This window comes from Homo sapiens, chromosome 6, assembly GCF_000001405.40.
Source record: "Homo sapiens chromosome 6, GRCh38.p14 Primary Assembly".
Taxonomy (NCBI): Eukaryota; Metazoa; Chordata; class Mammalia; order Primates; family Hominidae; genus Homo; species Homo sapiens.
Window position 1 is genome coordinate 111,882,528 of NC_000006.12, and position 16,870 is coordinate 111,899,397.

The 16,870-nt window shown below is 38.8% G+C and overlaps 2 annotated features.

Moving 5' to 3' along the window:
• Positions 1,524-2,027: an enhancer, noted in NCBI's record as "NANOG hESC enhancer chr6:112205254-112205757 (GRCh37/hg19 assembly coordinates)". NCBI's record gives its function as "activates a minimal SCP1, AML or CMV promoter by ChIP-STARR-seq in naive and primed H9 embryonic stem cells {active_cell/tissue: H9 hESC(naive and primed)}" and the evidence as "EXISTENCE:reporter gene assay evidence [ECO:0000049][PMID:30033119]".
• Positions 6,367-7,312: an enhancer, noted in NCBI's record as "NANOG hESC enhancer chr6:112210097-112211042 (GRCh37/hg19 assembly coordinates)". NCBI's record gives its function as "activates a minimal SCP1, AML or CMV promoter by ChIP-STARR-seq in naive H9 embryonic stem cells {active_cell/tissue: H9 hESC(naive)}" and the evidence as "EXISTENCE:reporter gene assay evidence [ECO:0000049][PMID:30033119]".

Consider the following 16,870-nt stretch of genomic DNA (forward strand, 5'->3'; position numbering starts at 1 on the left):
AAGGTCAACCACCCAATGGCAGCCAGAAGAGATCTCAAATAGACATAAATTATTCATGAGCTTACAGAAGTTAAACTCATTTTACCCCAAGAGAATCAAATTTACTAAGAATGGTCTGTTAAAAAATCAGAAAATATCCTGTAATCCCAGCACTTTGGGAGGCCGAGGCGGGCGGATCACGAGGTCAGGAGATCGAGACCATCCTGGCTAACACGGTGAAACCCCGTCTCTACTAAAAATACAAAAAATTAGCCGGGCGTGGTAGCGGGCGCCTGTAGTCCCAGCTACTCGGGAGGCTGAGGCAGGAGAATGGCGTGAACCCGGGAGGCGGAGCTTGCAGTGAGCCGAGATCGCGCCACTGCACTCCAGCCTGGGCGACAGAGCGAGACTCAGTCTCAAAAAAAAAAAAAAAAAAAAAAAAAAAAACAAAAAAAAACAAAAAAATCAGAAAATATTTCATACAGACGCAAAACTGAAATTTATTTCATCCTGCATTTCATTTATCATTTATTTCAATGAATTGGCTTTGGATAAGCCATAGGCATTCCCCAAATTCTTTCTGTCTGTCTTTCAATAAAAAGAGGAACATTCAATTTCTATTCAAAACTGAAATTAGACAAAGACACTCTTTTCACCACTAATACTTAACATTGTTCTGAAAATTCTAGTAAATGTAGTAAGACAAAAAGAAGAAACCATAAATATAAATGACAAAGTGGTGACAAAATTCTATCAATTCCTGTTAATGTAATTATCTACCTGGAAAGACCACGAGAATCAATTGAAACACTATTAAAACTAATAAATGAATTCACTATGGAGCCAGTTGCCAAAGATCTTGAGGATGGGTTCCAAAAACAGTGAGTTAGGTGAAAGTTGTGCATAGTCAAAATCACCTTTGAAAATTATCCAAATTGCCCCTGAAGTGCTGTATACATGAGGGGTTTTGTATACAACTCTGGATGCAATTTCTGTATAGATATATAAAATATATAGTAATTTGCAGCATGTACGAGTATATATGTAAAACAACTTAACAATACTAATTTTTGCACACCAAAAACTTGTGTTTGAATATATTTTTATTTATATATATGGGAAATGCCACAGACAAAAAAATGAATAATTTTCCTATATATCTAGTGAGAAATTATAATTTTTAAAAGTTTTTTGGTTACAATGGCAACCAAAAATAAGTAGTGGTCACATCTTGGTTTGGGCTCTCCTAGTGGTAAACCCTGAGACAAAGATGAGTGTTAGAGTTGCTTGTTGAAAAGTGAACCCAGGAAACCCAGTCTGGGAATGAGGGTAGGAAGAGAAGGAAGTCCACAGATGGTGAATTATGAAGCCAGTACTCCTGGGGGCAAATAGAGTGTCACCTCACTGAGTCCCCTCCGGGAGACACTGTGAGTATACATCACAGTCATTCCAGCAGAAGGCAGAGGAAGCCGGGTGTTCACTCACTGTGTTAGTGAGTGTTCTACACAGAAACAGGACGCACATATGTATATGATTTGCTATAAGAAATTGGGTCATGAGATTATGGAGGCTGAGAAATCCCATGATCTACTATCTGCAAGCTGGAGACCCAGGAAAGCTGGTGATGTAGTTCTGAAAGCAAGAGCGCTAATGGTATAAGTCCCAGTCAAGGGCAGGAGAAGACTGATGTCCCAGCTCAGCAGTCAGGAAGAGAGAGTGAATACCCTTTTCCTCCACCATTTTGTTCTATTCAGGCCCTCAAGGGATGGGATAATGCCCTTCTACATTAGAGAGGGCAATCTGCTTTACTCAGTCAACTAATTCAAATGCTAATTTGACCTGCAGGCACCCTCACAGACACACCTAGAAATAATGTTTAATCTGGGCACCCCATGTCCACGTCAGGCTGACACATGAAATTAGCAATTGTACCCACATAATTCCCCACTGTTATTGGTTAGAGGCTATTTCTAGGGACACAAACTCCAGATTTCCAGCTTACCCTGCTAACATCCCAATGGCCAGAAAAGATCCCTCATAGAGCGCAGGCATGCACTGGAAGCGGCCCTGGCAAGTGGGAGGGTATTTGGTAAGTCAGTCACTGGCAGAGTCTACCATGTTAACACAAAAAGAATAGGATCTACATGTAAAAACCACACATTTTTACTGAGAATCATAAAAAAGATTTAAATGGAGAGGTGGACCAAGTTCCTGGGAGGAAATACTTAATAATGTTAAGATTTCAATTTTCCCAAATTAAACTATAAATCAAATTCAATTCCAATTAGAATTCTACTGGGTCTTTTTTTTTCTTTTAAGTTTATCTGGAAGGAAAAAAATGAATAAGAACAGATAAAAAATTTTTGAAAACTTGGATGTAGTCAATGTCACCCTTGAGAATTCTTTAAATAATGAGAGGGTATTGCTCTTACCAGATAATAAAATAGAGTAGTACTGGTGCAAGACTAGTAAAGACAAGCACAGAAATCCTAAAAATTGCAAGAACACACCCAAATGTTTATAAGTGTGTAATATATATTACATATGACATTTCACATAAGCCATAAATGAAAGGAATATTGAATAAATATTGTTGGGATAAGTTAAATCTTACATCATGTCATATAGTAGAACAAATTCCATATAAATTTAAGATTGAAATGTAAATAAAATAAAAATATTAAGTACCAAACAGAATAAAATGAAGGTTAATATTTATGGACTCTCAAAATGGGAAAGTCCTGCCTCAGCTTGACACCCAAGATAGAATCTGAGAGGAAAGAAATGGTAGAATTGAGTACATAAAATTGAAAACATCTAGGCCCGAATAAAACGGAATAAAAGACAAAAGGGAAAGGATTAATATACTTAATATATACAGTGCTTGAAATTATTGAAAATCAACAAGAAAATATTAAAACACCAATAAAAATTTAACTGGGCAAAATAGCCATTCACCCATTATTTAACTAATATTTCTTGAGAGCCTGTTATATGGGAGGCATTGTTCTAGGCAATGAGTATATGCTGGTGAAAAAAATGACATCATGTCTGCTCTCCCAGATCTTAGAGTCTAATAGGTGAGACATAGCTCATAAGAAACAAATATATCTGTAATTACAAACTGTCATAAGTACTATGAGGGGATCAAATAAGGCAGAGTAACGGAGAATACTGAAGGGAAGTACTTTGATAGAGTGGTCAGGAAAGGCCTAAGTCCTTTAGGATGAGAAGGAGCTTGCTAGGTAAGACGGTGGGAGGAAGTGAAAAAAACATTCCAGTAAGAGGAATCAGCACGTGCAAAGGCCCTGGGGTGGCAAATGCTTAGTGATACAAGAAACAGAAAGGAGGCCTGGGTGGAAAGGGAGAGGGCAAGCAGAGTGGTAAGGAATGAGCTTGAAAAGATGGATAAGGGTCAAGTTATGCAGAGCTTTCTAGATCATGATAACTAGTTTGAAACTTTATAAATTATGGGAATCCAATAAAGGGCTTTAAGCAGGAAAATAACCTTATCAAATTTTACACTAAAAAAAAATGTTTTGTGAATGCTACATGGACAATAGATTGGAGGGATGTAAGTATAAACAGGGTGGCCAGATGGGAAATTGTGGTGGGGTTTAGACTAGCCTAGGTAATGTTGACTGTGACTGAGGTTTATAGAGTAGAGGGAGAGGAGCAGATGGGTCAAGATATATTTTGAATGTAAAACCCCAAACCATAAAAACCCTAGAAGACAACCTAGGCAATACCATTCTGGACACAGGAATGGGCATTCAAGATGAAGATGCTAAAAGCAATTGCAACAAAAGCACAATTTGACAAATGGGATCTATTTAAAGTAAAGAGCTGCTGACAGCAAAAGAAACTATCAACAGAGTAAAAAGACAACCTACAGAATGGAAGAAAATTTTGCAGTCTATGTGTCAGACAAGAGTCTAATATCTAGCATCTATAAGGAACTTAAACAAATTTACTAGAACAAAATCAAACAACCCATTAGAAAGTGGGCAAAGGACATGAACAGATACTTTTCAAAAGAAGACCATACATGCAGCCAACAAGCAAATGAAAAAAAACTCAACATCACTGATGATTAGAGAAAAGCAATTTAAATTGCAATGAGATACCATCTCACAACAGTCAGAATGGCTATTACTAAAAAGTCAAAAAATAACAGGTGCTGTTGAGGTTGTAGAGAAAAAGGAATGTTCATATACTGTTGGTGGGAGTGTAAATTAGTTCAACCAGTGTGGAAGACAGTGTGATGATTCTTCAAAGATATAAAACAAAACTACCATTTGACCCAGCAATCCCATTACTAGGGATGTACCCAAAGGAATATAAATCATTCTATCATAAAGACATGCATGTGTATGTTCACTTTAGCACTATTCACAATAGCAAATACATGGAATCAATCTAAATGCCCATCAGTGGTAGACTGGATAAAGAAAATGTGGTACATATATACCATGGAATACCATACAGCCATAAAAAAGAACGAGATCATGTTGTTTGCATGAACATGGATGGAACTGGAGGCTATTATCCTTAGCAAACTAATGCGGGAACAGAAAACCAAATACTGCATGTTCCCACTTACAAGGGAGAGGTAAATGATGAGAACATGTGGACACATAGAGGGAAGCAACACACACTGGGGCCTACCAGAGGGTGAAGGGTCAGTAGAAGGAGAGGATCAGGAAAAATAACTAACGGGTACTAGGCTTAATACCTGGAGGATGAAATAATCTGTACAACAAACCCCCGTGACACAAGTTTACCTATGTAACAAACCTGCACATGTACCCCTGAACTTAAAATAAAAGTTTAAAAAAAGATATATTTTGGAAAGAGAAACAATAGGACTTGTTTACGAGTGGGAAAGGAAGGTGAGGGAGCAACCAAGAATAACCCTCAGGTTTCTGACCTAAGTAGCTCTGAAAATGGTGATGACATTTTCTGTGACAGGGAAGTCTGGGAGAAAAGCAAGGAGAGCTTATGTTTGTGTTAGAACATGTTAAAGTTGAGATTCCTGAGACATATTCAAGCAGAGATGTTATTATCAGTTGAATGTATGAATCTGGAGCCTGGTAGTGGGGGAGGGAGTTTGGGTTGGAGTTATAAATGAGGTAATTAATATCTGTGGTAATTAAAGTCATGGGAAACGAATGAGCTCACTTAGAAAGAGGACCTAGGACTGGGCCATGAGAGGTCAGGTAGAGGAGAAGACTGAGAAGGAACAGATAGAGAGGCAGAAAGAAAACCAGTCAGATGTGGTATCTGAGGAGGCGTGAGGAGAGTGTTTTCAAGTGGAAATGGTAAATGTTGTCAAATATTAGCCAAAGATCTAGGAAAATGAGATCAGAAAAATGAACCCGGGATTTCGTGAAGTAGAAGTCATTGGTGATTAGTTGGGGAGTGGGCTAAGACATCAAGGAACAGTGAGGAAGTGGACACAGAGAGTATATGACCTTTTTAGGAGGTTTAGTTCTGAAGGGGGTGCTGCAATACGCATGGCTCAAGACCAAAACACAAAAGTCCACAAACAAATGAAAAAGCATTTCACCACATGGAAAAGCAAATTCAAGTAGAAAAAGGAAATCTTTTTTAAAACAATTTCTATCAAATTGGCAAAATACTGGATATTTTCAAAGTGGGGGAGGGATGCGCTCTCCTCCAAACTACTATAAAGAGATGGTAAATTTATATAACATTTTTGGACTTAGCTTTGTATTAACCATTTTGACCAGCAATTTCATTCCTAAGAACACATCTGAGGAAACAATCATGGATCTGTGCAAAAATGGCTGTATTTTTTGGTCTCCGTATCATGTATGATAGTGAAATATTGGAAAACAACTGTGATAGCCAACAATAACAGACTGGCTAAGTTATAAAACAAACTCAGAGACAAATTACTGAGGACACTGCTGTGGTCCAATCAATCTATAGATTTCAATATTTCTGGGAAAGTATTGCCAGAATGTAAGACAAACCAGGCAATACTACTATAGAAAATATTTGATTGAAAAAAATTACTAAAAAGTTCTGACTTTGTGCAGGATTTGGCTACCTGAAAGGCCAAGAGTACATGAAATTACTTCAGAAATAAGGTTTTACAGATTACTTTAACAAGCACTCCATCATATTTACTACAACTAGCAGAGTAACCAGGTTCAATCTTGGGATTCTTGGTAGGATTCTCGTTAACAAGAAGCCATACATGAATTTGATTATTAATTCATTGGGGATTTCTCCTCTCCTTATCTTCTATCTTACAGTGCCCAATATCTTAATTTTTTCCAGCCTCATAGTCTTGGAGTTCTGCCTATATTTCTGGTAAATCTTTTAAGACTCAGCATTGCTCCAGGATTTATTCTTTTGAAATCTGTTAAGAGGGTTTCCTCTTCGCTAACCCCATGGTGCGTGTTCTTTCTTTCTTTGTGTTCCCATAGCTATTTTCACTGTGTCTTTCAAGTAGCACAATGCGGTGATGAGGAGAGGGAAACTGGCTGAGAATTTTGAAGATTGGAAAATTGGGTCGATGCCAAAAAGTAGGAGTCTATGTATCCCTTTTGCTCATTTACTTGCTCAGGTCACTGAGGACTGGAAAGGCTGAAACTGAAACAGTAGGAGGGTTATCTTTTGTCAACAGAAGCAAGCAAAGGCGCAGATTTGCACATTTAAAGCGGTATTGTAGCTATGTAATGTGATGAAAGAGAGCTCTCTCCGACAGTGGATCCGTGAAAATTGATACGTGGGGAAACAGCAGATCATTGCCAGAATTTTTAAAAAGATTCTTCTTCTTATTTAAAGTCAAACTCTGATTCCTCCTCATTTACTTTCTAGTTCATGATGTTTTCTACCTCAAGTCTATCCTCTCTTGTCTTCAGAAAAGAGGATTTCAGCTTTCTATTTAACTGGATACTCATTAAGGCTCAGCCAGCAGCAGCAGGATGCCTGCCCCATCCAAGGAGGAGGGGCTCCAGCTGGGAAAAGGACAGAGCTTCTAGAGAGAAGCCCGGAGGCGGTCAGAGATGGACCTCAGCAGGGGCTGCACTTTTCAAAGCTGCTTTTCCTCTTTGGAGGAGAAAGAGGAGGATCAGAGGGTTGAAGTTCCCTCTTAGCACTTCTAACACCTACTTTGGACTTTATCACTACCAAATCAAGACTATAATGTGCAGTTGGTATGCCCATTTTAGTTAATTCAATTGGAAAAGAAAAAAAAAAAAAGACCTGCTAAAGACCTACTTACTCGAAAGATTTAGAAACAAAAGCCCAGGACTGTGGCAGCACAGGGACCAAGTGATCATAACTGCCATCGTCTTCCTTTCAAATGAAATGTAATCATATTTTTGCTCACACATGCTTAGGGAATTTCTGGCAAGATACCCAATTAACTACTGTCAATGATTATGTCTGGGGAGGGGTCCTAGGGCAATGACAGGCTGGAGGGAATTTTATCTTTTGCTTAATACCCTCTGTTCTGTTAGAGCTTTTAATAAAATCTGTATATAATTTTTATTTTTAAAAACTATCAATTCAGCTTTTAAGCTATTGAGTGTTCTAATTTTTAAAATGAACTACTTTGCCACTTAACATAAAGCGACGTAAACAGAAAGGAGTAAAGGAAATTTTTTTCTAGAGTTTCCTCTCCCCTATTCCAAGACTCAAATGCGAGCTATGTTCATTCAGATAGAAAGATGGACAATATGATGGTGGCTGCTTAGAAGCAGGAGAATTTGAATTTGAACACAGTGCTACAAACCTGAATGCATTTTATTGAATTTCTTCTTCTTCTAGGCAGTCATCTCACAGGACTACATGAATGGTTTTGGTGAGATTTCTTCTGTCTCAATTTCTGCATGTAAATTGAAAACTATAAAGCACATGGGTTAGAATGAACAAAGGCTTGGAATAGATGCATCCCCTTCCATTTGGAGCCCTGAATAAAAGTCATGGCTTAGAAGAAGGAATGGCAGAGAAGAGGGAGAGAAGGAGAGAAGATAAACAGAATTAATGGGCATAGTCTCATTTTACAATTAAATAAAGACACTTTAATGGATATATGGATATTTCTTATAGATGACAGAGCAACACCACAAGTATTTCTTGATTTCTACAGTTCAAGTGCTGCTTAGAAGGAATCTATTTCTTTTGTAAAATTATATAATAATTTATGGGCCCATGAGGAGTATCCCATTTAAAGGACTCTAATTAGGAATATTTTTGTAAAACTCATTCCATTAATTATCTCCTTTCTTTTATATCCCTTCAGCCTTTTGCATTCCATTAGTTCTTCCTTCTCATCAGACTTATTTATGACATTTTCATCCTAAGACAAAGAAAGAAAGAAAACTCTATCATGTCTCCTCTAGTTACTGCCCTCTCTCCTTCCCTTCACAGCTAAGTCCCTTCAAAAGGATGGTCTCCCCTAGGTCACCAACCTATGTTAGAAATATTTGGGAATATGGAAAAGAAATAAGAAGACAAGTGTAGAGGCAGGAAGGCCCTTATCATTTTTTGCCCAAATGATTTTCCTGCCTCTACACCTCTCCTCTTACTTCTTTTCCATATTCCCAAATATTTCTAAAATGCAAATGTGATTATGTCACTTGTTCATTTACAAATCTCTATTCCCTGTTGCTTGTGGGACAACATCCAAATTCCTCAGCATGACACACTAAGAAATATACTAGGTACTCATAGCAGATTGTGCTGTGTCCTTCACAAACACCCATACCAGCCATGTTGTTTGTACTGTGTGTTTATAAATATAATGGGTTCTCAGAGCATGTTGGCTGTTCTCAAGCCTTTGTACCTTTGCATAAGCTCTTCCCTTTTCCTGGAATGATCTTCCTCCTTTCAACTGCCTAATATCTGCATTTTCTTTAAGACCTAGCTCACTGTCATGTTGACCAGGAAGCTTTTGCTGAACTACCAGTGTGGGTGAGGTATTCTCTTGTGATGTATCCTCTCACGTACCACTCATTGAATAAGTTATGCTCCTGTATACTACAGGCACTCCATAAGTGTTTATTGAATGAATTAACTCATGAATGGTGACTATAATCTCTTCATTTATTTTAGGGTCATTTTTTTTTTATTTTAACATTTATTTATTTATGCATTTACTTATTTATTTATGTATATATTTTTAAGACAGAATCTCACTCTGTCACCCAGGCTGGAGCGTAGTGGCGCCATCTCGGCTCACTGCATCCTCTGCCTCCTGGGTTCCAGCGATTCTACTGCCTCAGCCTCCCAGGTAGCTGGGATTACAGGCACATGCCACTACACCTGGCTAATTTTTTTTTTTTTTTTTTTTTTAGTAGAGATGGGGTTTCACTATGTTGGCCAGGCTGGTCTTGAACTCCTGACCTCAGGTGATCCACCCACCTAGGCCTCCCAAAGTGCTAAGATTACAGGCGTGAGCCCCTGCACCCAGCCTTAACTTTTATTTTAGGTTCAAGGGTATATGTGCAGGTTTGTTATATGGGTAAATTGCGTGTCATAAAGTTTGGTGTACAGATTATTTTTTCACCCAGATAATAAGCATAGTACCCACTAAATAGGTTTTCAATCCTCACCCTCCTCCTATCTGAATCATAGATTTAGAATCATAGACCCAAAAAGGGATTTTATTGAATGCTAGTCTTCAAAGGAAGAAAACAAAACTAGTAAGTAGATCTCATGAGTCCTATTTCTTTTCTCCTTTTCATGCTTTCTGAAGTCTGTATTTTCATATTTCTCATTTGATTAGTAAGGTATCTTCGTTATAAAGTTTTAACTAGAAAGTGACCAAAGTTATACAAAATATTAACCTGCTGACTCTTGGAGAGATGCACAGCATCCTTCCTGCTTGTCTAGGCTCAGTTCATTAGCACTTACCTATAAATGCACAACATACTCTGCCAGTATTTAGCATGCACCTATATTTGGTGACGTTGTCATTTAAAAACTATTGCTCCTTAAGAGACAGCAGGTAATAACTGTTTTTAAAAAAAGAATTTTTGTTCTTTCTTTGTTCTTTTTAGTCTCTTTCTTCTAATTATCACCATCATCGTCTGGAGAACTGAACCAATGAGTAAAGAGGATGCTGACACATTGGAGACCAGCCAGAAACGGGTTAAAGGTCATGTGTTTAAGAAGCAACGAAAATAATTTGACATACACAGCCTAGAGGAAAGGCAGAAAAACAAGGATATTTTGATTTATAAATAACTAAGAGATACTAAAAAGAAAGGGAGGAATTATATTGGATATGGTCAAAAAGATGGAGATGTGAGAAGAATGAAATAAGAAAAAAACCACAGTGTGTAGAGATTATTAAGCAATCTTGACAAGAAAAATAAGAAATTAAGTGATAAATATTGAATGTTAAGTGTCAGGCATATTTTAACAGTGTTACATGAGTTACTAACCCATTTAATTCTCCTAACAGCCCAGTGATAAAAGAATTCTGTTATCTCAAAGGAGAGAACAGCCTTGCTGAATGATCTCACAGTGCACCAAGGCACTCTATGAACTATTTGCAGTAAGATAGTAATTAGCATTTATTAAATGTTTACATTTTTGTTTTCTTTTTTTTTTTTTGAGACAGAGTCTTGCCTGGTCGCCCAGGCTGGAGTGCAATGGTGCAATCTCGGCTCACTGCAACCTCTGCCTCCCGGGTTCAAGTGATTCCCCAGCTCAGCCTCCCGAGTAGCTGGGATTACAGGCGCCCTCCACCGCACCTGGCTAATTTTTGTATTTTTAGTAGAGATGGGGTTTCACCATGTTGGCCAGGCTGGTCTCAAACTCCTGACCTCGTGATCCACCTGCCTTGGCCTCCCAAAGTGCTGGGATTACAGGCATGGGCCACCGTGCCCAGCCCTAAATGTTTACACTTTTCAAAAGGACTTCCACACATGAGTTCATTAATCCTCACAATGGTCCTGTTGTTATTCCTAGTTTTGGATGAGGTTAGGACTTTTCCATAGTCACTTAATTGTTAAATGGTACAACTGGGTTGTAAACCAGGTCAGCTCCTTCCACTATAGCATGCACACCACTAGGAAGATAAATCTTAACTATAAGTGGATAACCCACAGAAACATAGGCCTGAACCCTTTCAGTTAATCTTTTTTTTCACAAAGACATGTATTTATTAACAGCTTTATTGAGATATAATTCACATAACAATTTCCTATTTAAAGTGTATACCTCAGTGATTTTTAGTATATTTGGAACTGTATGTTCATCATCACAATATAATTTTGGAACAATTTCATCACCCCTTACCCAAAGAAAACCCATATCCATTAGCTGTCATTTCATATTCATCCCCACTCTGGTCCCTAGCAAGCACTCCATTACTTTATGTTCCTTACTCTGGACATTTCACATCAAGAGAATCATATAAAATGTGGCCTTTTGTGTCTGGCATCTTTCCACTTACCATGTTTTCAAGGTTCATTCATGTTATACCGGTATTTCATTCCTTTTTACGGCTGAAAAATATTTCACTGTAATTGTTATACCACATCTTTAGTATTCATTCATCAGTGGATAAACATTTGGATTGTTTCTACTTTTGGACTTTTATGAAGAAGGTGCTATGAACATTCATGTACAGGTTTTTGTGTGAAAGACATACATTTTAAAATAAATAATCATTTTCAGAAGTGTCCTAATGGCATTTCATAGAGGACTGGTTCCATGGAAAGTTCTGTAAAACAACAAACAATTTCTATGGTCAAATAAGTTTTGTTAACACTTCAAAACATGCTTCCTTGCTCTGTCAGAGCCACTGTAGACATTAGAGGCACAAAGAACACCTGCTCTAAGGAAACTTGTTTAACTTTCCTGCCCAGGATTCCTCCAACTTCTATCATGCTGGAACCTTCTTTCACAGAACACTAATGTTCTGAGGAGCGAGTGTACTATGAAGCACATTTGGGGAAATGCTGCCCCAAATATTTAGCAAAGAGAGCCTTTCAGGAAGTGAAGCAGATGATTGGAATTCATTCTGAGATCTCCTTTCCCTTAATCTGACCCAGGATCTTTGCATGTGACGTGTACATTATAATAACAGGCTAACATTATGGCCCTATTTTTATTTGGGGTTAGGAAAAATAGGCTAACATTTTCTCTTAAAATATGGCTTTTGTGGTTAAGAAAAATAGTCACCAGGTTGATCTGGCAGCATTGTCACCTGTCTCAGCAGAGCTTAATATCAATCAGCAATCAGTGGATACTAGGAATTAAGGTTCCTTGTTGGTGTGGTTCATGCCTTCATCATCTCTGTGATTTCCCAGCACCTAGCAGAGGATCTGGCACATAGTAGTCACCCAAATAGTTAATGGTCAGGTGGGTGTCCATTATAGAATGCATTCAGGACCATCATTTTATAGATAAAAGCTTGAGCATTGGAAGGACTAACTGAATTGCCTAAGTTAACAACTGCTTCTAGCTGCAGCACCAGGACCAGACTCAGATCCTCTGACTTATAATTCTGTATCATTTCCGGTGTGTACAACTTAAGGTTAGAATTTTATTTTTTTCATCTAAATTTCAAGTGAAATAAAAAAAAATGTTTACACTTTTTATAAAGTGAACTGGGCTTGAGCTGTGCTAAAGGGAATTATGCCAAGAAATCAAGGGCTGAGGTTTTCTTTCCTTGGAATGGTGAAATCTGGAAAAGAAAGTAAGCACTGGTCCCAGTTGGAGTCTGAAACTACCAGGGTATAAGCCATGAAGAGTTTAAGAGAAATACTAAGACAAAGTGATGAGAGCTAAACTGCAAACATCATGTGGAGTTTTGTTGTGCTGCCATGCATTTTCAGCACTGCTTATTTACGTACCCAGTTTTTGGAATGGAAAAACTATCATTAAAAAAATGTATCTAAACACAGTCCATGCTAAAAAGCTTCGAAAAGATGAGCAGCTTGCTTATCCTTTGTGATTTTACCGGGTCACTCAACCTTCCCTATGGTACATGAATCTAGTGTGCAACAGTGGAGAAAAATATTCTTTTACGCATTGTGAGAACTTATATTCAAGGTGAATTAGATAATACCCAAAGAGTAAAATGTCTCCTAAATTACTTACTGATATGCATAAGACTAAAGAGTTACTTAGAGTAGTAACTTCTTTGTTTATAGGAAGATGCTGTCACATTGGGAATTAAATGTAAACTCAAGAATCCCTTTTGTTTCTCAGAAAGATTTATCTTAATCTCCTTTGCCATTTTATTTTATTTATGTTTTGAGACAGGGTCTCACTCTGTCACCCAGGCTGGAGTGCAATGATGTGATCTTGGCTCACTGCAGCCCCAACTTTCCGGGCTCAGGTGATCCTCCCACCTCAGCCTCCTGAGTAGGTGGGACTACAGGTGTGCACCGCCACACCCAGCTACTTTTTTTTTTTTTTTTTGTAGACACAGGGTTTCACTAGGCTAGTCTCGAAGTCCTGGGTTCAAGTAATCTGCCCACTTCAGCCTGCCGAAGTGCTGGGATTATACAGGCTTGAGCCACTGTGCTTGGCCTCCTTTACCATTTTAGATTTAATTCAGATATTCCTAGATATGAAGAATTTCAAGTCACTTGATTTCATAAAGCATTCATTGAATCATTTTGTTTATTTTCACTAGAGGTTTTGAAGCTGCCAAAGAGTTCATCTGGGTCCTTTCCTGGGCCCCCAAATTTGTCCTCTTGGCCTGTTTTCTTGAGTTAGAATATAAACTCTGAATGCCATGCTAGCCCAGTGCACTTCCCCTAATATTGAATTTGATAGTAGCACACTGTACTTTCATAATATTGCATTTGGTTAATAATAATAGCAATTCTCTCTAACACTAGCACAGTGGTGACCTTGGTGTTCAATATAAATACTACTTGCTGAATATAACTGAATACCTAAAATAGAAGTTCCTTTTCTGGAAACAGGAATCAAGTGTGAAAAGTGACCTTTCTACCATTTGGAGGGAGATGGAGGCTCTGTAGATTATAAACCAGAGGTCAATGCCTTTCCTGGTGTAGAGAACCACTACTCTCCCTATCCCCTACCCATGAACCCCAACCCTGGCCCACCCATCAGCAAGGGAAAAGGACTTGGTCTTCACCAGTAGACTTAGCTGGACTTGGCCTTGGAAACAGGGCTACTTAAACTCCTTCATCTGACCTCCTGCACTACTTTTCCTGAGCATTTTCTCAGCAGTGAGGGACCAGTTCCTACTCCCTACCTTTTTTTTTTTTTTTTTTTTTTTTTTTTTTTGCTTTTTGTTGCTAGATAACCCTCTTTATTATTTTGATACTCAATGATATAGATTTAGGTGAAAAAGTTGCTTGAACACATGATATAGCCCCCTTTTCGGGACAAATCTTTCATGTGAAAATGAGGCTTGAGGAAATATTTCGCAGTGGAAGACCACTGGGTTTGGAGCAGAGCAGTTTTGCTTTTGGCCTATCAGCTGACTCCCTTATGCAAGTCATTTAACTTCTGGGGGACTCAACTTTTCCATAAGGTCAAGGGAGATTAACTCCACCAGCCCCAAACTAACTCATAGACTTGTGACTTAGGAGAATAACAAAAACGAATAGACTTGAAGACCTTTAAAAACATTGAAAAGAATTACACACTGTAGCAGATATTATTGGTTGCCATGTCAAAATCTTTTGGCCATACTCTTAGTTTTAACAAAGATATGTACAGAAAATAATAGTTTTCCTGCAGAAAGGAATAGCACTTCAAAGACTCAATTAAGTACATTGACAATTAAAAGGGGAAGGTCATGGACTTGGGAAAGACACAAATCTGTGTTTGAGTCCAATCTGTATAACATTGGGCAGATTATTTAACTTCAGTCTCCTCAAATGTAAAATGGGGAAATGTATCCTGGTTTAAAATCACTCTTGTGAGTATTAGATAAAGTATATATAGCACCTGTGAAGTTAGCTGGAGTTACCCAGGGCCCTTGGACTCCAGAGTAGGACTTGGAACCAAGTAAATGTTCATTCCTTTTCCACATTACAGATTGTTATGAAGAGTCAATGCTCTCTTTTACTTTTTTGAGGCAGAGTTTCGCTCTTGTTGCCCAGGCTGGAGTGCAATGGCATGATCTCTGCTCACTGCAACCTCTGCCTCCTGGGTTCAAGCGACTCTCCTGCCTCAGCCTCCCGAGTGGCTGGGCTTACAGGCATGCACCACCTCGCCTGGCTAATTGTGTATTTTTAGTAGAGATGGGGTTTCTCCATTGTTGGTCAGGCTGGTCTCAAACTCCTGACCTCAGGTGATCCGCCCATCTCAGCCTCCCAAAGTGCTGGGATTACAGGCGTGAGCCACCGTGCCCAGCCAATACTCTCTTTTAAATAAAATACTGGCTCTGCCTGCAGGAATCCTTATTGCCCCCTATCTAGTTGAGGTAGGCTAGCCTGGGGTCTGACTGAGAATATAACACATTTTGTCTTTCCCATATCTGATATCTAAATTGTTTGGTTCTCACTTTACCACAAGAATAAATTTTGTCGTATAGGTTCTTGTTAAAGATTCAAAGATGAATAAACTCCTCCAGCACATACTAAGAGCTCAGCAGATTAATACTTGAGAGAACTTTACAGATGTATTCACTCTAAATTATAATAAAGTTATAATTCTATTTTTCATTTCTAATTAAATCAGAAATGAATGAATCCAAGCATCAGAGATGAAAATGTATCTGTTCAGTCCCGTCTTTTTATGGATGAAGAAACCTAAATGACTTGCTTGTACAGAGCCCAGGCCTCTGATTCCCAGTGACATGCTGTGAGCTTTATACCTGCTGAGACTTTCAGTCCTTGGGCCATTTACTTAGCTCCTTCTTAAAACCTCTTCAAGTTTGGTTTCAAGAAAAGAGTTGGTCCCTCCTGGAAAAGGGTGTGCTTTTTTTAAAGTCAAACCTAAAAACCCAACAACCCACCCACAGTGTCCTCTGGAGAACCCAAAGCCTGCATCAGGGCCCAGTTACAGAGAACAGCTCTTCCCAGATGCCTGGAAGCAGCTAATGCTTCCAGGCCCTTTGGTGGTCTCTGTTTTGATTTCCTAATCGGGTGCTTTAGCTTAATCTGATAAGCTACCTCAAATCCTTTTGAAAGTAAGCAGGTTGTAAATCCTAAATAAATAAAACTACTGTGGCCACTGCAAGCCCAGGTTTGGGCTTCTGTCAAGGAGAATGATCTTCAACCTCCCCTTCCCTCCACCTCCCACGTGGGCCCAGAGTGCCTGCCTCCCTGGAACCCTTTTAAAGCTCCGGCTGCATCCTGGTGACAGCTGTGAATGCGCTAGGGAGAAACAGTGTTCCAACATTTGGCTTTCCCTAAAGGCAGAACAGGTGGTGGACAGGTAGTGTGTTAATTAGAAATAAACTTTATTATCAATTTAATTAGCCATCCCAACTTCTGTCCTCTTATGCATAAGAAGTTGGATGAAAAGTTTGCTTGAAGTAGTATAGATGATCTCCTAACCATATTCCTGAAACCGAAGGTCCACCCACCTAACCATTTAAACCAGAAACTTTGTTATTCTGCACTTTTCCTCCCTTTTCATGCCCTCAGACAATCACTTGACCAGTCCTGTGACTTCTACCATCTAAACCAGTGGTTTTTAAGCCCAGATGCACATTAAAATCTGCAAGCCTTTAAAAGCACTGATGCCTGGGTCTCACCTCCAGGTATTCTGATTCAGTGGTCTCAATGCGGGACCTGGGCATTAGTATGTTTTAAAAAACTCCCCAGGGGGTTATAGCCTGCATCTAGGGTTGATAAGTTTGTCTAAGCCTAGCTTTAGTTCATCCTATCCTTTCTACAAACACTGCCATTTCGGGGGGTGCATAGCTTCATGCCTTTCTTGAACCACTGAAATAGCCTCATAA